This window comes from Homo sapiens, chromosome 19, assembly GCF_000001405.40.
Source record: "Homo sapiens chromosome 19, GRCh38.p14 Primary Assembly".
In the NCBI taxonomy this organism is placed as follows: domain Eukaryota; kingdom Metazoa; phylum Chordata; class Mammalia; order Primates; family Hominidae; genus Homo; species Homo sapiens.
Genome location: NC_000019.10, coordinates 13,368,701 through 13,384,341, shown reverse-complemented (window position 1 = coordinate 13,384,341; position 15,641 = coordinate 13,368,701). Strand labels below are relative to the sequence as shown.

General features: G+C 46.5%; 1 protein-coding gene across 5 annotated transcripts in view; it reads left to right on the top strand.

Annotated features, from left to right (window-relative positions):
• The window catches only part of CACNA1A (calcium voltage-gated channel subunit alpha1 A), a 300,038-nt gene that overhangs the window by 122,138 nt on the left and 162,259 nt on the right, over window positions 1-15,641 (top strand). For all 5 annotated transcript variants that reach the window (NM_001127222.2, NM_001127221.2, NM_001174080.2 and 2 more), the window contains exon 4: window positions 12,563-12,654. In NM_001127222.2, coding sequence (NP_001120694.1) covers window positions 12,563-12,654 — 92 coding nt within the window. The remainder of the gene's footprint in view (window positions 1-12,562; window positions 12,655-15,641) is intronic.

The window sequence follows — 15,641 nt, the reverse complement described above, 5'->3', positions numbered from 1 at the left end:
CCTCTCCACTGGGGACCCTTGGCTTTTTCCACTTCACTCATCTACCCTGGGTTATCTGGTCTTCCATAACCCTGTCCTCTGCCACACCTCACTTATTCACCCACCACAATATTTATTGAGTACTCACTAGGCCATGAAAGATGCTATACAAAAAAAGCCCCTGTCCTCGTGGAGCTGACATTCTAGAAGAAAGCATGAATAATAAATACGACTTAATAAACAGTACGGCCAGGCATGGTGGCTCACGCCTATCATCCAAACACTAAGAGACCAAGATGAGAGGATCACTTGAATCCAGGAGTTTGAGACCACCTTGGGAAACGTACTGGGACCCTGTCTCTACAAAAAAAATATTAAAAATTAGCTGGATAGGGTAATGCATGCCTGTAGTTCCAGCTACTTGGGAGGACAAGGTGGAAGGATTGCTTGAGCCTGAGAGGTCAAGTCCGCAGTGAGCTGTGACTGTGCACTGCACGCCAGCCTGGGTGACAGAGTGAGATCCTGTCTTAAAAATAAATAAATAAACAAACAAACAAACAATATAATTCCAGAGAGTGAAGAGGCAGGATCTCTTTAGCTAGGAAGTTGAGGGATGTTCTCTCTGAGAAGGCAGAATCTGAGTTTCAACCTGAAGAATTCGAAGAGGCCAGCTAGGCAAAAGATGAGAGTTGAAGGAATGGGGACGGCAGAGGAGACAGCCAATATAGTAATTCTCAATAAAGCAGAAAGTGAGCTTTTCCTGCTGGCAGAACAGAAAGGAAGTCGGAGTGGCCAGGGTGTTGTGGGACAAGGTGGTCAGCAGGAGTCACATCACGCAAGGTCATGTGGTCATGGTAGACTTTAAATTTTACTCCAAGCCTGATGGAAGCCATTGGAAGATTTTAACTAAGGAGTGACGGAAAACTGGCATCTCAAACTCAACATGTCTACAACCCAGTTCTTGATCTTTGAAACCTTCTTCCTCCATCTTCCCCATCTCCATTGACAGCAACTTCATCCTTCAGTTAGCTCAGGCCAAAACCCTGGAGTCACCCTTGATACCTCTCTCCTGCTCCACACTCAGTCTTTCCATTGGAAGCCCTAGGGGCTGCCATATTGTTCTCCATAGCACTTCACACCGTCTGACATACTATATCTTTTCCCACTATTGCTTTGTCCTTGGTAGCATCTTTAGGCACTCTCTGAATATCTGGCACATAGTACGTGCTCACTAAATCCTTGTTGAATAAATGAATGAACATCACTCCGTGGTCCTTTCAGAACCAGAGCCATTCTTCTCTTTCTTCACCACCGTTGCCCCTCACCCCGCCCAACTAGTCACAGGAGTTGAAGGATGACACAGTAGAGAACTGGGATTCTGGAGTCCTGTGGCTGGTCTGGGGTTCGAGTTCTTACTCAGTGGTAGGAACCTCCATGTGGGATTAACTTATCTGGTCTTTAGTTTCCTCCTCTGTAAAATGGGCCTCAAACTGCCAACCGCTGGGATGCAGGGAGGATTTGATGAGCCCAGGCAGGCTCCCTGGAGCACAGCAATCAATGGCAGCTATATATAAACCGGGGCCTCTTTTGTACTCCCACTGCCTTTGTCCTAGTTCCAGCCCTCATTACACCAGCCTGCTCTTGCGGCTCCCTCCTAACTTCTGCTCCATCACCACCAATCTGTCCTTTCAGCTGTCAGGCTTGTCTTCTGAACGCCAACCCTAATCACATCCCTTCCTGCTCCAAAACCTTACATGACTCTCACTGTCCACAGGACAAGACCCAGCCTCTAGTTGACAGCCTCCACTGTCCAGCTTACCCAACCTCTCCCCTACCACATACCCTGAGTGGAGCCTTCTGCCTCCATAGGGCTTTCTTAGCCAGAGAAGCCTCCCTTATCTTCCTGTTCTCCTCCTAATTCCTTCTTATCCTTCCAGGGAGGAGGCTGTGAGGTAATGCATCTTGGGAGCCAGCTGGGATTGCACAGGGTGGTGAGATTATCTGCATTTCCGAGGCTTGAACAAGTTAAGGCAATGGGAAAGGTCACACAATGAGAAAATGCAGGGCCAGGATTTAACCCGTCTGAGATGTTCTGACTGTGCTATGCTGCCTCCCCGGACATGAGCTCTGCGATAATGCTGTCCCCAGGCTGTAATCATTCCCTCTTTCATCCCTGCCTCCTCTATCCCTGGGGTCAGAGGGACTTGTAGTTGAATCTCTCACTCACTCATTGGTGTGGTCTCTCCCTAAAGCAGGGTGGAGTTTGTCTTAGCGTTATCACTGCATCCAGCACAACCTCCCTGGTCCAGGCTTATCAGCGTTCAACTGCGTCAATGCAGTTGCCTCCTCCTCAATCTCCCAGCTTCCGGCCTTGCCCCCTAGAGAGATCATATTTTAATACAAGTCAGATTACATCCCTCCTCCCCTCAGAACCCTCCATGGCTCACACCTTACTCAGAGAAAAAGCCAAAGTCCTCTCCACAACCCACAAAGCCCTGCACCATCCATCACCTCACTGCCTTCGTCCCCTCACACCCTCCCCCTTGCTCGCTCTGCTTCAGCCACACCAACTCATCTCTGTTTCTCAAATACACCAGGCATGGCCTAGCTATTAAATGCACGGTCCAGCCTGGTGCATTTGAAGAACACGGATGAATTGGTGTGGCTGGAACAGAGTGAGTGAGGGGGAGAGCGGGAGGAGGACCTTTGCACCAGCTGGACCTTTGCACCGGCTGTTCCATTTGCCTAGAGTTTTCCCTGACATATTCATATGGCTCACTCTCTTGCTTCCCTTGCTTTCTCCCAGTCTTTATTCAAATGTCTATTTCTCTGCACTTGTGCTGTTTGATACAGTCACCGCTGGCCACATGTGGCCTTTGAGCACTTCAGTTGAAACACATGAAAGTGTAGAATATTGACCAGATTCCAAGGAAAACCATGTGCAAAATATCTTTTATCTCTTAAGATACAGGGTCTCGCTCTGTCTTCCAGCCTGGAATGCAGTGGCACGATCACAGCTCACTGCAGCCTCAAAATCCCAAACTCAAGTGGTCCTCCCACCAACAGCCTCCCGAGTAGCTGGGATTACAGGCACACACCACAATGCCCCGCCCATTTTTTTAATTGTTATTATTTTTTTTAATAGCGACAAGGTCTTGCCATGTTGCTCAGGCTGGTCTGGAACTCCTGGCCTCAAGCGATCCTCCTGCCTCAGCCTCCCGAGTAGCTGAGATTACAGGCAGGAGCTTTTGTGCCCAGCAGGTCTACGATCTTCTTAGAATGCTTCAGGCTGGGCATAGTGGCTCATGCCTCAAATACCAGCACTTTGGGAGGCCAAAGCAGGCAGATTGCTTGAGCTCAGGAGTTCGAGACCAGCCTGGGCAATATGGTAAAACCCTGTCTCTCCAAAAAAAATACAAAAATTAGCTGGGCTTGGTGGCTCCCACCTGTAGTCCCAGCTACTTAGGAGGCTGAGGAAGGAAGATCACCTGAGCCCAGGAGGCGGAGGTTGCAGTGAGCCAAGATTGAGCCACTGCACTCCAGCCTAGACAACAGGGAGACCCTGTCTCAAAATAAATAAATAAATAAATAAATAAATAAATAAATAAATAAACAAACAAACAAACAAACCAATAAATGAATTTTACCTGTTTCTTTTTACTTTTTTAATGTGGCTACTAGCAAATTTTAATTTTTTTTTTTTTTTTTTTTTTTTTTGAGACAGAGTCACGCTCTGTCACCCAGGCTGGAGTGCAGTGGTGTGATCTTGGCTCACTGCAACCTCCACCTCATGGGTTCAAGCAGTTCGCCTGCCTCTGCCTCTGAGTAGCTGGGATTACAGATGCCCACCGCCACGCCCAGCTAATTTTTTGCATTTTTAGTAGAGATGGAGTTTCGCCATGTTGGCCAGGCTGGTCTCGAACTCCTGGCCTCAAGTGATCTGCCTGCGTCGGCCTCCCAAAGTGCTGGGATTACAGGCATGAGCCACCGCGCCTGGCTATAAAATTTCATAAGTAGCTCTTAATAGATTTCTCCTGGGCAGTGCTGGTCTAAACACTTTTTTTTTTTTTTTTTTTTTTTGAGACGGCATCTTGCTCTGTCACCAGGCTGGAGTGCAGTGGCGCGATCTCTGCTCACTGCATCCTCTGTCACCCGGGTTCAAGCTATTCTCCTGCCTTAGCCTCCCAAGTAGCTGGGACTACAGACACCCGCCACCACGCCCAGCTAATTTTTGTATTTTTAGTAGAGACGGGTTTTCACCATATTGGCCAGGCTGGTCTCGAACTCCTGACCTTGTGATCCGCCAGCCTTGGCCTCCCAAAGTGCTGGGATTACAGGCATGAGCCACCGCACCTGGCTATAAAATTTCATAAGTAGCTCTTAATAGATTTCTCCTGGGCAGTGCTGGTCTAAACACTTTTTTTTTTTTTTTTTTTTTTTGAGACGGCATCTTGCTCTGTCACCAGGCTGGAGTGCAGTGGCGCGATCTCTGCTCACTGCATCCTCTGTCACCCGGGTTCAAGCTATTCTCCTGCCTTAGCCTCCCAAGTAGCTGGGACTACAGACACCCGCCACCACGCCCAGCTAATTTTTGTATTTTTAGTAGAGACGGGTTTTCACCATATTGGCCAGGCTGGTCTCGAACTCCTGACCTTGTGATCCGCCAGCCTTGGCCTCCCAAAGTGTTGGGATTACAGGTGTGAGCCACCGCGCCCGGCCCTGTAACACTTTTAACACTGAACTGTTTGCCTTCCAGGTGGTAAAGAGCAGGTGCCTTTACTGATAGAAATGTCACCACTCCCTTCATCCCGCCAGCCCCATGTCACTGACGCGTCCTTTCCCCTTGCTCTGTGGTAACTTTCTCCTAAGCACTCATCGCCCTAACATCTGTCATACAGGTATACCTCAGAGACACTGCTGGTTTGGTTCCAGGTCGCCATAACAAAGCGAATATTGCAATAAAGGGAGTCGTGCCTTTTTTGGTTTCCCAGTGCACATAAAAGTTATGCTTACACTATAGTCTGTTAAGTGCATGATAGCATTATGTCTAAAAAAAAATGTACATACCTTAATTTTAAAATCCATCAAGGCTGAGCACAGTGGCTTGTAATCCCAACACTTTGGGAGGCCAAGGCAGGAGGATTGCTTGAGCCCAGGGATTTGAAACCAGGCAACAAAGTGAGACCCCGTTTCTACAAAAAAATTCTTTTTAAAAATAGCTGGGTATGGTGACGCATGCCTGTGGTCCCAGCTACATGAGAGGCTGAGGTGGGAGGCTCACTTGAGCCTGAGAGATTGAGACTGCAGTGAGCTGTGATCACACCACTGCACTCTAGCCTGGGGGACAGAGTGAGACCGTATCTCTCAACAAAAATTAAAAAAAAAAAAAAAAAAGGCTGGGCACAGTGGCTCATGCCTGTAATCCCAACAGTTTGTGAGGCCAAGGTGGGTGGATCACTTGAGGTCAGGAGTTCAAAACCAGCCCAGCCAACATGGTGAAACCCCGTCTCTATGAAAAATACAAAAAAATAGCCGGGTGTGGTGGTGCACACCTATAAGCCCAGCTACTCGGGAGGCTGAGGCACGAGAATTGCTTGAACCTGGGAGGCGGGGGGGAGATTGCAGTGAGCCGAGATTGCACTGCTGCACTCCAGCCTGGGTGACAGACTGAGACTCTGTCTCAAAAAATAAATAAATAAATAAATAAATAAATAAATGTTTTATTACTAAAAAAGTTAACAATCATCTGAGCCTTCAGTGAGTCCTCATCTTGCTGGTGAAGGGTCACTGGCTCAGTGTTGATGGGTGCTGACTGATCGTGGGGGTGGTTGCTGAAGATTGGGGTGCCTGTGACATTTTCTTAAAATAAGACAAGAAAGTTTTCCGCATCCATCGACTCTTCCTTTCACGAAAGATTTCTCTAGCATGAGATGCTTGTTGACAGCAATTTTACCCACAGTAGAACTTTTTTCAAAATTGGAGTCAGTTCTTTCAAACCCTGCCACTGCTTTGTCAACTAAGTTTATGTCATATTCTAAATCTCATGTTGTCATTTTAACAGTGTTCACAGAATTTTCACCAGGAGTAGAATCCATCTCAAGAAATCACTTTCTTTGCTCTTCCATAACAAGTAACGCCTCATGCATTGAAGTTTGATCATGAGGCTGCAGCAATTCAGTCACATCTTCAGGCTCCACTTCTAACTCTAGTTCTCTTGCTAGTTCCATCACTTCTGCAGTGTCTTCCTCCAGTGAAGTCTTGAACTCCTCAAAGTCATCCATGAGGATCGGAATTGACTTCCTCAAAATTCCTATTAATGTTGATATTTTGACCTGTTCCCACGAATCACAAATGTTCTTTTTGTTGTTTGTTTGTTGTGGATTGTTTTTTTATTTTTAATTGAGTTGAGGTCTCACTATGTTGCCCAGACTGGTCTTGAACTCTTGGCCTCAAGTGATCCTCCTGCCTTGATCTCCCTAAGTGCTGGGATTACAGGCATGAGCCACTGGAACAGCCACAAATGTTCCTAATGGTATCTAGAATGGTGAATGCTTTTCAGAAAGTTTTCAATTTCCTTTGCCCAGATGCATCAAAGGAATTTATCTATGGCAGCTATAGCCTTATGAAATGTATCCCTTAAATCATAAGACTTGAAATAGAGAATTACTTCTTGATCCATGGGCTACAGAATGAATGTTGTGGCTGGGCATGGTGGCTCACACCTGTAATCCCAGCACTTTGGGAGGCTGAGGCAGGTGGGTAACTTGAGGTCAGGAGTTCAAGACCAGCCTGGTCAATATGGTGAAACCCCATCACTACTAAAAATACAAAAATTAGCTGGGCATGGTGGCGTATGACTGTAATCCCAGCCACTTGGGAGGCTGAGGCAGGAGAATTGCTTGAACCCTCTTGAAGACAGAGGTTGCAGTGAGCCAAGATCACACCACTGCAGCGACAGAGTGAGACTCTGTCTCAAAAAAAAAAAAAAATGTTGTGTTAGAAGTCATAAAAACAACATTCATCTTCTTGTACATGCCCATTAGAGGTCCTGGATAACCAGTGCATTGTCAGCAGTAATATTTTGAAAGAAATCTTTTTTCTGGCTGGGTACAGTGGCTCGCACCTGTAATCCCACCACTTTGGGAGGCCGAGGCGTGTGGATCACCTGAGGTCGGGAGTTCAAGACCAGCCTGGCCAACATGGTGAAACCCCAACTCTACTAAAAATACAAAAAAATTAGCCAGGCATGGTAGCAGGTGCCTGTAATCCCAGCTACCCTGGAGGCTGAGGCAGGAGAATCGCTTGAACCTGGGAGTCAGAGGTTGCAGTGAGCTGAGGTCGTGCCATTGCACTCCAGCCTGGGCAACAAGAGTGCGACTTCATCTAAAATACATATATATATATAACATGTTATATGTAATATAAATTATATATATAACATATATGTAATATAAATTATATATCACATATAACATATATCATGTGTTATATATATCACATATAACATATGTGTTATATATCACATATAACATGTGTTATATATCACACATAACATATATTATGTGTATATATGTCACATATATTATGTGTTATATATGTCACATATAACATATTGTGTTATATATATCATATATAACATATATTATGTGTAGTGTATCATATGTAACATATATTATGTGTAGTGTATCATATATAACATATATTATGTGTAGTGTATCATATATAACATATGTGTAGTGTGTTATATATAACATATATTATGTGTTATATATCTCATATGTTATATATAACATATATTATGTGTTATATATTATATATATATTTTTTTCTGAGTAGATCTCAACAGTGGGCTTAAAATATCAGTTATCCATGCTATAAACAGACGGGCTGTCATTCAGTCTTCATTGTTCCATTTATAGAGCACAGGCAGAGTAGATTCAGCATAATTCTTAAGACCTTAGGACTTTAGGAATGGTAAGTGAGCATTGGTTTCAACTTAAAGTCACCAGGAGCACTAGCTCCTAACAAGAGAGTCAGCCTGTCCTTTGAAGCTTTGAAGCCAGGCATTGACTTCTCCTCTCTAGCTATGAAAGTCCTAGATGGCAACTTCTTCCAATAGGGCATTTCATCTACATTAAAAATCTATTATTCAGTGTTGCCAGCTTCATTAATAATCTCAGCTAGATCTTCTGGATAACTTACTGCAGCTTCTCCATCAGCACTTATCACTTCACCTTGCACTTTTATATTATGGGGACACCTTCTTTCCTTAAACCTCATGAACCAAGATCTTCTAGCTTCAGATTTTTCTTCTGCACTTCCCCACCTCTCTCAGTCTTGCTGTGGGCTTGCTGTGGATTAGGCTTTGGCTTAAGGGAATGTTGTGGCTGGTTTGATCTTCTATCCAGACCACTAAAACTTTCTCCATGTCAGCAAGAAGCCTGTCTTACTTTCTTATCATTCATGTGTTTACTAGAGTAGCCCTTTTAATTTCCTTCAGTAATTTTTCCTTTGCATTCACAACTTGGCTAACCTCTAGCTTATGGCCTTTTGTTTGTTTGTTTGTTTTGTTTTTGAGACAGGGTCTCACTCCGTTGCCCAGGCTGGAGTGCAGTGGTGCAATCACCGCTCACTGCAGCCTTGACTTCCTGGGACCAAGTGATCCTCCCACCTCAGCCTCCTAAGTAGCTGAGACCACAGGTGTGCACCACCACACCCAGCTAATTTTTTTATTTTCTGTAGAGATAGGGTCTCCCTATTTTGCCCAAGCTAGTCTCAAACTCCTAGGCTCAAGCCATCCTCTCACCTCAGCCTCCCAAAATGCTCGGATTACAGGCATGAGCCACCATCCCTGGCCCTATCTCAGCTTTTGACACGCCTTCCTCACTGTGTTTAATCATTTCTAGCTTTTAATTTAAAGTGAGAGACGTGCAACTCTTCTTTTCACTTGAGCACTTAAAGGCCATTGTACAGTTATACACTGACCTAATTTCAATATTGTTATGTCTCGGGGAATAGGAAGGCCCAAGGAAAGCGGGAGAGATGGGGAAATGGCCAGTTGGTAGAGCAGTCAGAACACACACAATATTTATCGATCAAGTTTGCCATCTTCTATGGATGTGGTTCGTGGCACCCCCAAACAATGACTATAGTCACATCAAAGATCACTGATCACAGACCACCATAACAGATGTAATAATTATGTAAAAGTTTGAAATACCGTAAGAATTACCAGAGTGTGACACAGAGACGCAAAGTGAGCACACGCTGTTGGAAAAAAAATGGCCCTGATAGACCTCCTTGACACAGGGTTGCCACAAATCTTCAATTTGTAAGAAACACAATATCTACAAATTGCAATAAAGCAAAGCACAATGAAATGAAGTCTTCCTCGGCCGGTGTGGTGGCTCACGTCCATAATCCCAGCACTTTGGGAGGCCAAGGCAAGAGGATCCCTTGAGCCCAGGAGTTGGAGGCCAGCCTGGGCAACACAGGGAGACTCCATCTCTAGAACAAAACAAAACAAAGCCTGCTTATATTTATTGGGTTTACTCTCAGTCTCCCCCACACAGAGATAGGGCCTGGCTTGTTATTAGTGCTCAGTTGATGTTTGTGAAGTGAAATACTAAGGACTTAACCACTGCCTGTTCTTTGCTGTTCATGCCCTGACAGCTTTTATGTGCCAGCACAGAAGAAAACAAGGTGCAAGAAGAGAATAGTGATCTCTAAGTCAGAATTTGAGGAACCCAAATTAGTACCAGAAAGCTGGGAGGAGAAGAGAAAAATAAAGTAAATCAAATTAAAAGTTGAATGGGCCAAGTGCAGTAGCTCATACCTATAATCCCAGCACTTTGGGAGGCTGAGGTGAGAGGATCACTTGAGGCCAGGAGTTCTAGACCAGCCTGGGCAATATAGCAAGACCCCATCTCTACAAAAAAAATTTTTTAATTTTCTGAATATGTTGTTGTACACCTGTAGTCCCAGCTGCTTAGGAGGCAGAGGTGGGAGGATCGCTTGAGCCCAGGAGGTTGAGGCTGCAGTGAGCTGTTGTTGCACCACTATACTCAAGCCTGGGTGACAGAATAAGTCCCTGTCTCCAAAAATAAAAATAAATAAATTCATTTTTTGTAAAGTTGTATGTCATGGCCCCTGCCTACTCTGGCTTCATGACTTGCTGCTTGAACCTCACCATCCAAATCCCAGTGGTGACACCATGTCATTTCTTGAATTTGCCAAGCCCTCTTTCAGTCCCAAGCTCTCTGTCATGGCCACTCTCAGCCTGGAAAGTTCTTTCCCCACTGGCCAGATTTCTCCCCCTCATCTATGGGAACTTGACTTGAAGTAGGGGGTATCCCAGGCCCTGGACTAGTTAACACGACCTGCTGTGTGCCCCTCAAAGCCATTGTCTTCCTAGCTGAGAAGGCATCACACCTGCAACAGATTCACTCATTGTGTGCATGTTTTTCTTAACCACTTCTCTTCTGCATCAGCTCCATGGGGCAGGGATAGTCTCATATGTCACTCTACCCAGCACATAGGATACGCTCAGACGCCCACTTGTGGATGGTGGAAAAGGTCAGCCCAACCTAATATGCCCATCTCTCCTCTAGGGGTAATCTTGAGAAAAAAAGTTGGGAACTTGCTTTGTGTTAGTTTAGGATGACCCAGAATAGATCCTGAAACAAGAATTTAGGGCAATCCTTGTGCAAGTAGTTCATCTGAGAGGTGACCCCAGAAGGGTTGGAGAAGGAGAGGGGAGGTGGGGCAAGGAAGGGTGAGTTGTCCTGTAGGCAACTGAGCTCCGTCCTACTGGGAGCCCACGTGGAACTCACCTCTTAAGTGATCCAGAATGAAGGGTGAGGGAGCTGCGGTATTGATCCACCAACTCCCAGCAATCTTTGGTTGAGGGCTGCTCCCTTAAAGTTCATTCCCTGGGCCTGCCCCAGATTTGGAGACAGCCCTAAGGCAAGAGGTACAGATACCAGTTGGCCACAGACTGAAGTGTTAAGACCCAAGCCCCTGGATAAAACTGAAAAATCAAGCCAGATGTGGTGGTTCCCACCTGTAATCCCAGCTACTCAGTAGGCTAAGGCAGGAGGATTGCTTGAGCCCAGGAGTTCAATGCTGTAGCGAGCTATGATTGCACCACTGCATTCCAGCCTGGGCATCAGAGCAAGACCCCATGTCTAAAATAAAAATAAACTGAAAAATCCCCAAGTTATTTGCTGTGACCAACCTTCCATTAACCACAGACCCTCTGGTATTCAGCATTTCTTGTCCATTATATGAAGTTCTGATGACAGTCTCTTTTATTGTATTGTGCCTTGACCACGCACTGTACATCACTTAGCTCTGAAATGGACATGTTCAGGAAACAGGGCCAGGTGGGACCCTGTGTTTCAACAGCAATACTTTTACAAATGAGGTCTCATGACAGGGTCTTGCTCGGAGGGTTTCTATGGAAGCCTCATCCCACCTACTGCTATCATCCTTACTAACTTGCATTTACAAAAGGGACTCTTTTTGACCAGAGGCTTGGGGTCTGTAGCTGCCTTCTAGCCAGCTGATGCTGGCTGGTCCACACAAGCAGGATCACACCCATTTTTTTGTTTTCTTATTTATTTCTGAATAGGTTAGCATACCGGTAACCTGTGTGCCTGGCATTGTGCTGACCACTTTTTGTCAACTTACTGAATCCTCACAACCCTTGGAGGTATTGATACTATTGTTATCCAGGTTATACAAAAGGGGGAAACTGAGGCACAGAGCAGGGATGTCCCTTGCCCAAGGTTACCCAACTGGAAAGTGGCAGATCTGGGATCTGAACCCATGCAGGCTGGGCTCTTAACACTGAACTACTTTCCTGCCATTTGTTAAAGAGCCACAAACCAGGCCAGGCACCATGGCTCACGCCTGTAATCCCAGCACTTTGGGAGGCCGAGGCGGGTGGATCACCTGAGGTCAGGAGTTCAAGACCAGCCTGGCCAACATGGTGAAACCCTGTCTCTACAAAAATACAAAAAAAAGTACCCGGGCATGATGGCGGGTGCGTAGTAATCCCAGCTACTCGGGAGGCTGAGGCAGGAGAATCCCTTGAACCCGGGAGGCAGAGGTTGCAGTGAGCTGAGATCACACCATTGGAGATCGCACTCCAGCCTGGGCAACAGAGTGAGACTCTGTCTCAAAAAAATAAAATAAAATAAAATAAAGAGCCACAAACCCCGAAAGGTCTGCCATTCCCCCAGGGCCCCAGGCCACCCCACAATCTATTGTCATTGTAGGTTGTGAAATATACTGAATGTCACCCCAACCTTGAGCCATGGGGAAGATTCCATTTCTCTCATTGCAACATTTGTGCAACATGAACCATCTGTTGGGGGTCTTCGTAAATCACCTTTTATCCCGTGAGGCAGGTACTGTTAAGACCATTTTACAGGTGACAAAACTGAGGCCAGTGGTGTCGAGTCACCTGCCTGTGGTCACCCAACCAATACAGGACAGCTTGGAATCCCAAGCACCCCCGCCCTGCTGTCTGACCCCCAAAACCCACCCTCTGTTCTCCATTCTGGCTTCTTTCTTTCAGCATCTTGGCGACAGTTGGGACGGAGTTTGACCTACGGACGCTGAGGGCAGTTCGAGTGCTGCGGCCGCTCAAGCTGGTGTCTGGAATCCCAAGTGCGTGAGTTTCCGACCCTGACAAGGGGTTTGCTCACGGGCCCCAGGAGCCCTCAGTTTCCCCTATGCAGAGCATCTCAGGAGGCCACATCCTGCCACCAGCCTGTGTGAGGGCAGTCTCTTCTTTGGGACTCCCTATAGGGAACCCCCTAGGAATATGACTGTAGCTCCCCATGAGCTCCTGAAAGCAAACTAGGAGCCACACCCATTTATTGAGCACCTACTGTCTATCGGGAGCCATGCTAAGCACCACGTGTGATCTCATTCAGTACTCACAGCCCTATGAAGTTGATAGGACTGATGTCTCTATTTTATGGAGGGGGAAACTGAGGCTCAGAGTGGCTGAAACATTGGAGCAGGGTTTTGTGGCTGAGAAGTGGCAGAACTAGGAGTGAGCAAGTGTGACTCCAAGCCTGGGCCGTACCACTGGTGGCAATGACCATTCCCATTTAATGAGTGCCTGCTGCGTGCAGGGCACTACAGAAGGACTTTACATGAATTACCTTATTTCATCCTCACAGTCACCCAGCGAACACCCATTTTACAGATGAGACGGTTGAGGCTTAAGGAGGTTAAATTACTCACCTGAATTCTTAGAGTGGACAGTAATGAGCTCTAAAATTCATACTCATTCCTTGCTGCTTTCTCATTCTCCACAGATACATCTAGTCCCCGTTTAAGGGTGGCTGCCATATGCAGGGTCAAGATTAAGTGTAGGTTGAGCCAAAAAAAAATGTAAAAAGCAAAAATAAAACAGGGCTGTCCTTTTTCTATCTTCTTGTCTTGGTTAATAATAATAATTTAGCCAGGCATGGTGGCTCATGCCTGTAATTCCAGCACTTTGGGAGGATCACTTGAGGCCACAAGTTCGAGACCAGCCTGGGCAACATTGTGAGGAACACCACCCCCACCCCCCCGCCAATATCTACAAATTTTTTTTTTTTTTTTAGAAATTAGCCAGGTTGACTGGGCACAGTGGCTCACACCTGGAATCCCAGCACTTTGGGAGACCGAAGCGGGCAGATAGAGCGAGCTCAGGAGTTTTAAGACCAGCCTGGGCAACATGGCGAAACCCTGTCTCAAAAAAAAAAAAAAATTAGCAGGCATGATGGTGCACACCTGTAGTCCCAGCTACTTAAAAGGCTGAGGCAGGAGGATCTGAGCCCAGGAGGTCAAGGCTGCAGTGAGCTGTGATAGCACCACTGCACTCCAGCCTGGACAACAGAGTGAGACCTTGTCTCAAAAAAACAGACAACAAAAAGTTTAAAAACAAACAATTTATAGGCTGGGTGCAGTGGCTCATGCCTATAATCCTAGCACTTTGGGAGGCCAAGGTGGATGGGTGGATCACCTGAGGTCAGGAGTTCGAGACCTGCCTGGCCAAAATGGGGAAACCCCGTCTCTACTAAAAATACAAAACTTAGCCGGGCGTGGTGGCGGGCATCTATAATCCCAGCTACTCGGGAGGCTGAGGCAGGAGAATCACTTGAACCCGGGGGGCGGAGGTTGCAGTGAGCTGAAATCACGCCACTGCACTCCAGCCTGGATGAAAGAGTGAAACTCCGTCTCAAAAAAAGAAAAAAAAAAATTAAAAAGCACTTACTATGTGCCAGACATTATTCTAAGTATTTCCATTTTTTTAAAGTCCTTTATCCTCCCAACAAGCCTGTGAAGTAGTCTCTTTTATTATCACCATTTTACATTTTATTGGCTTCGTTCTTCCGGTTCATTGCTACCCAGGTTTAAAGAGTAAGATTTCCCAGAGGATCACCAGCAGGATCTTTTTGTAGAAAGAAGACACTTCTATCCAAGGTCTCTGCAAGATCCCAGCAGATGCCTGCATCATATTAAATTAAGGGCCATCCCAAATCTAATAGTCAAAAGAGCCAGGTGCAGTGGCTCACACCTGTAATCCCAGCACTTTGGGAGGCCAAGGCAGGACGATTGCCTGAGGCTAGGAGTTCAACACCAGCCTGGGCAACAAAGTGTGACCCTGTCTCAAAAAATATATGTATATTATAATAGCAGTAGTAACAAGAGTCTCTGTTTAATGACCACCTATGACTTACCAGGTACTTCACTGTGTGTGAACTCTCTCATCTAATCGTATGAGGGAGGTACTATTGCAGTCCCCATTTACAGATGGAGAAGCTGAGGTTTGGAATTCACTAGTAAGTGGATGACTAGGTCAGGTTCCCTTGAAGCGGATACTTAGGTGGGTGTTCAGATGCACCTGCTTTATTGGGGGACGGCTCTTGGGAGAGACAGCAGGAGATCAGCAGGGTGGGGCTGGGGAATGGATAGAGCAGGGACGCAATTTCAGCTGGAGTGTGTGTGACACCAGAGTTGTCCTCCAATGCATGGCAAGGATGCCGGCCTTTTGTACTTCTATAGTCAGTCACTGTGGATGGGAGGTAGAGACGCAGTAGCTCCCAGGTGAGATAGCTTTTGATCACCAAGGGCAATTCTACTAAGAAGAGAGGCAGCTGGGAGGCATTAGCAACCAACATCCATAGCAGCTGGAGGGCGGGTACACCAGAAAGAAAATGGGATCTTGGCCAGACACCAAGAGTATCCAGCACCTTAACCACTGCACCACACTGCATCTGTTAGCACCCACATTACATTTTTTTTTTTTTTTTTTTTTTTTGAGACGGAGTCTCGCTCTGTCGCCCAGGCTGGAGTGCAGTGGCGAGATCTCGGCTCACTGCAAGCTCCGCCTCCCGGGTTCACGCCATTCTCCTGCCTCAGCCTCCCGAGTAGCTGGGACTACAGGCGCCCGCTACCACGCCCGGCTAATTTTTTGTATTTTTAGTAGAGACGGGGTTTCACCGTGTTAGCCAGGATGGTCTCGATCTCCTGACCTCGTGATCCGCCCGCCTCGGCCTCCCAAAGTGCTGGGATTACAGGCGTGAGCCACCGCGCCCGGCCAGCACCCACATTACATTTTTAAGCCCTTGGAGTGGCATGGCCCCTCGAGCTATCCT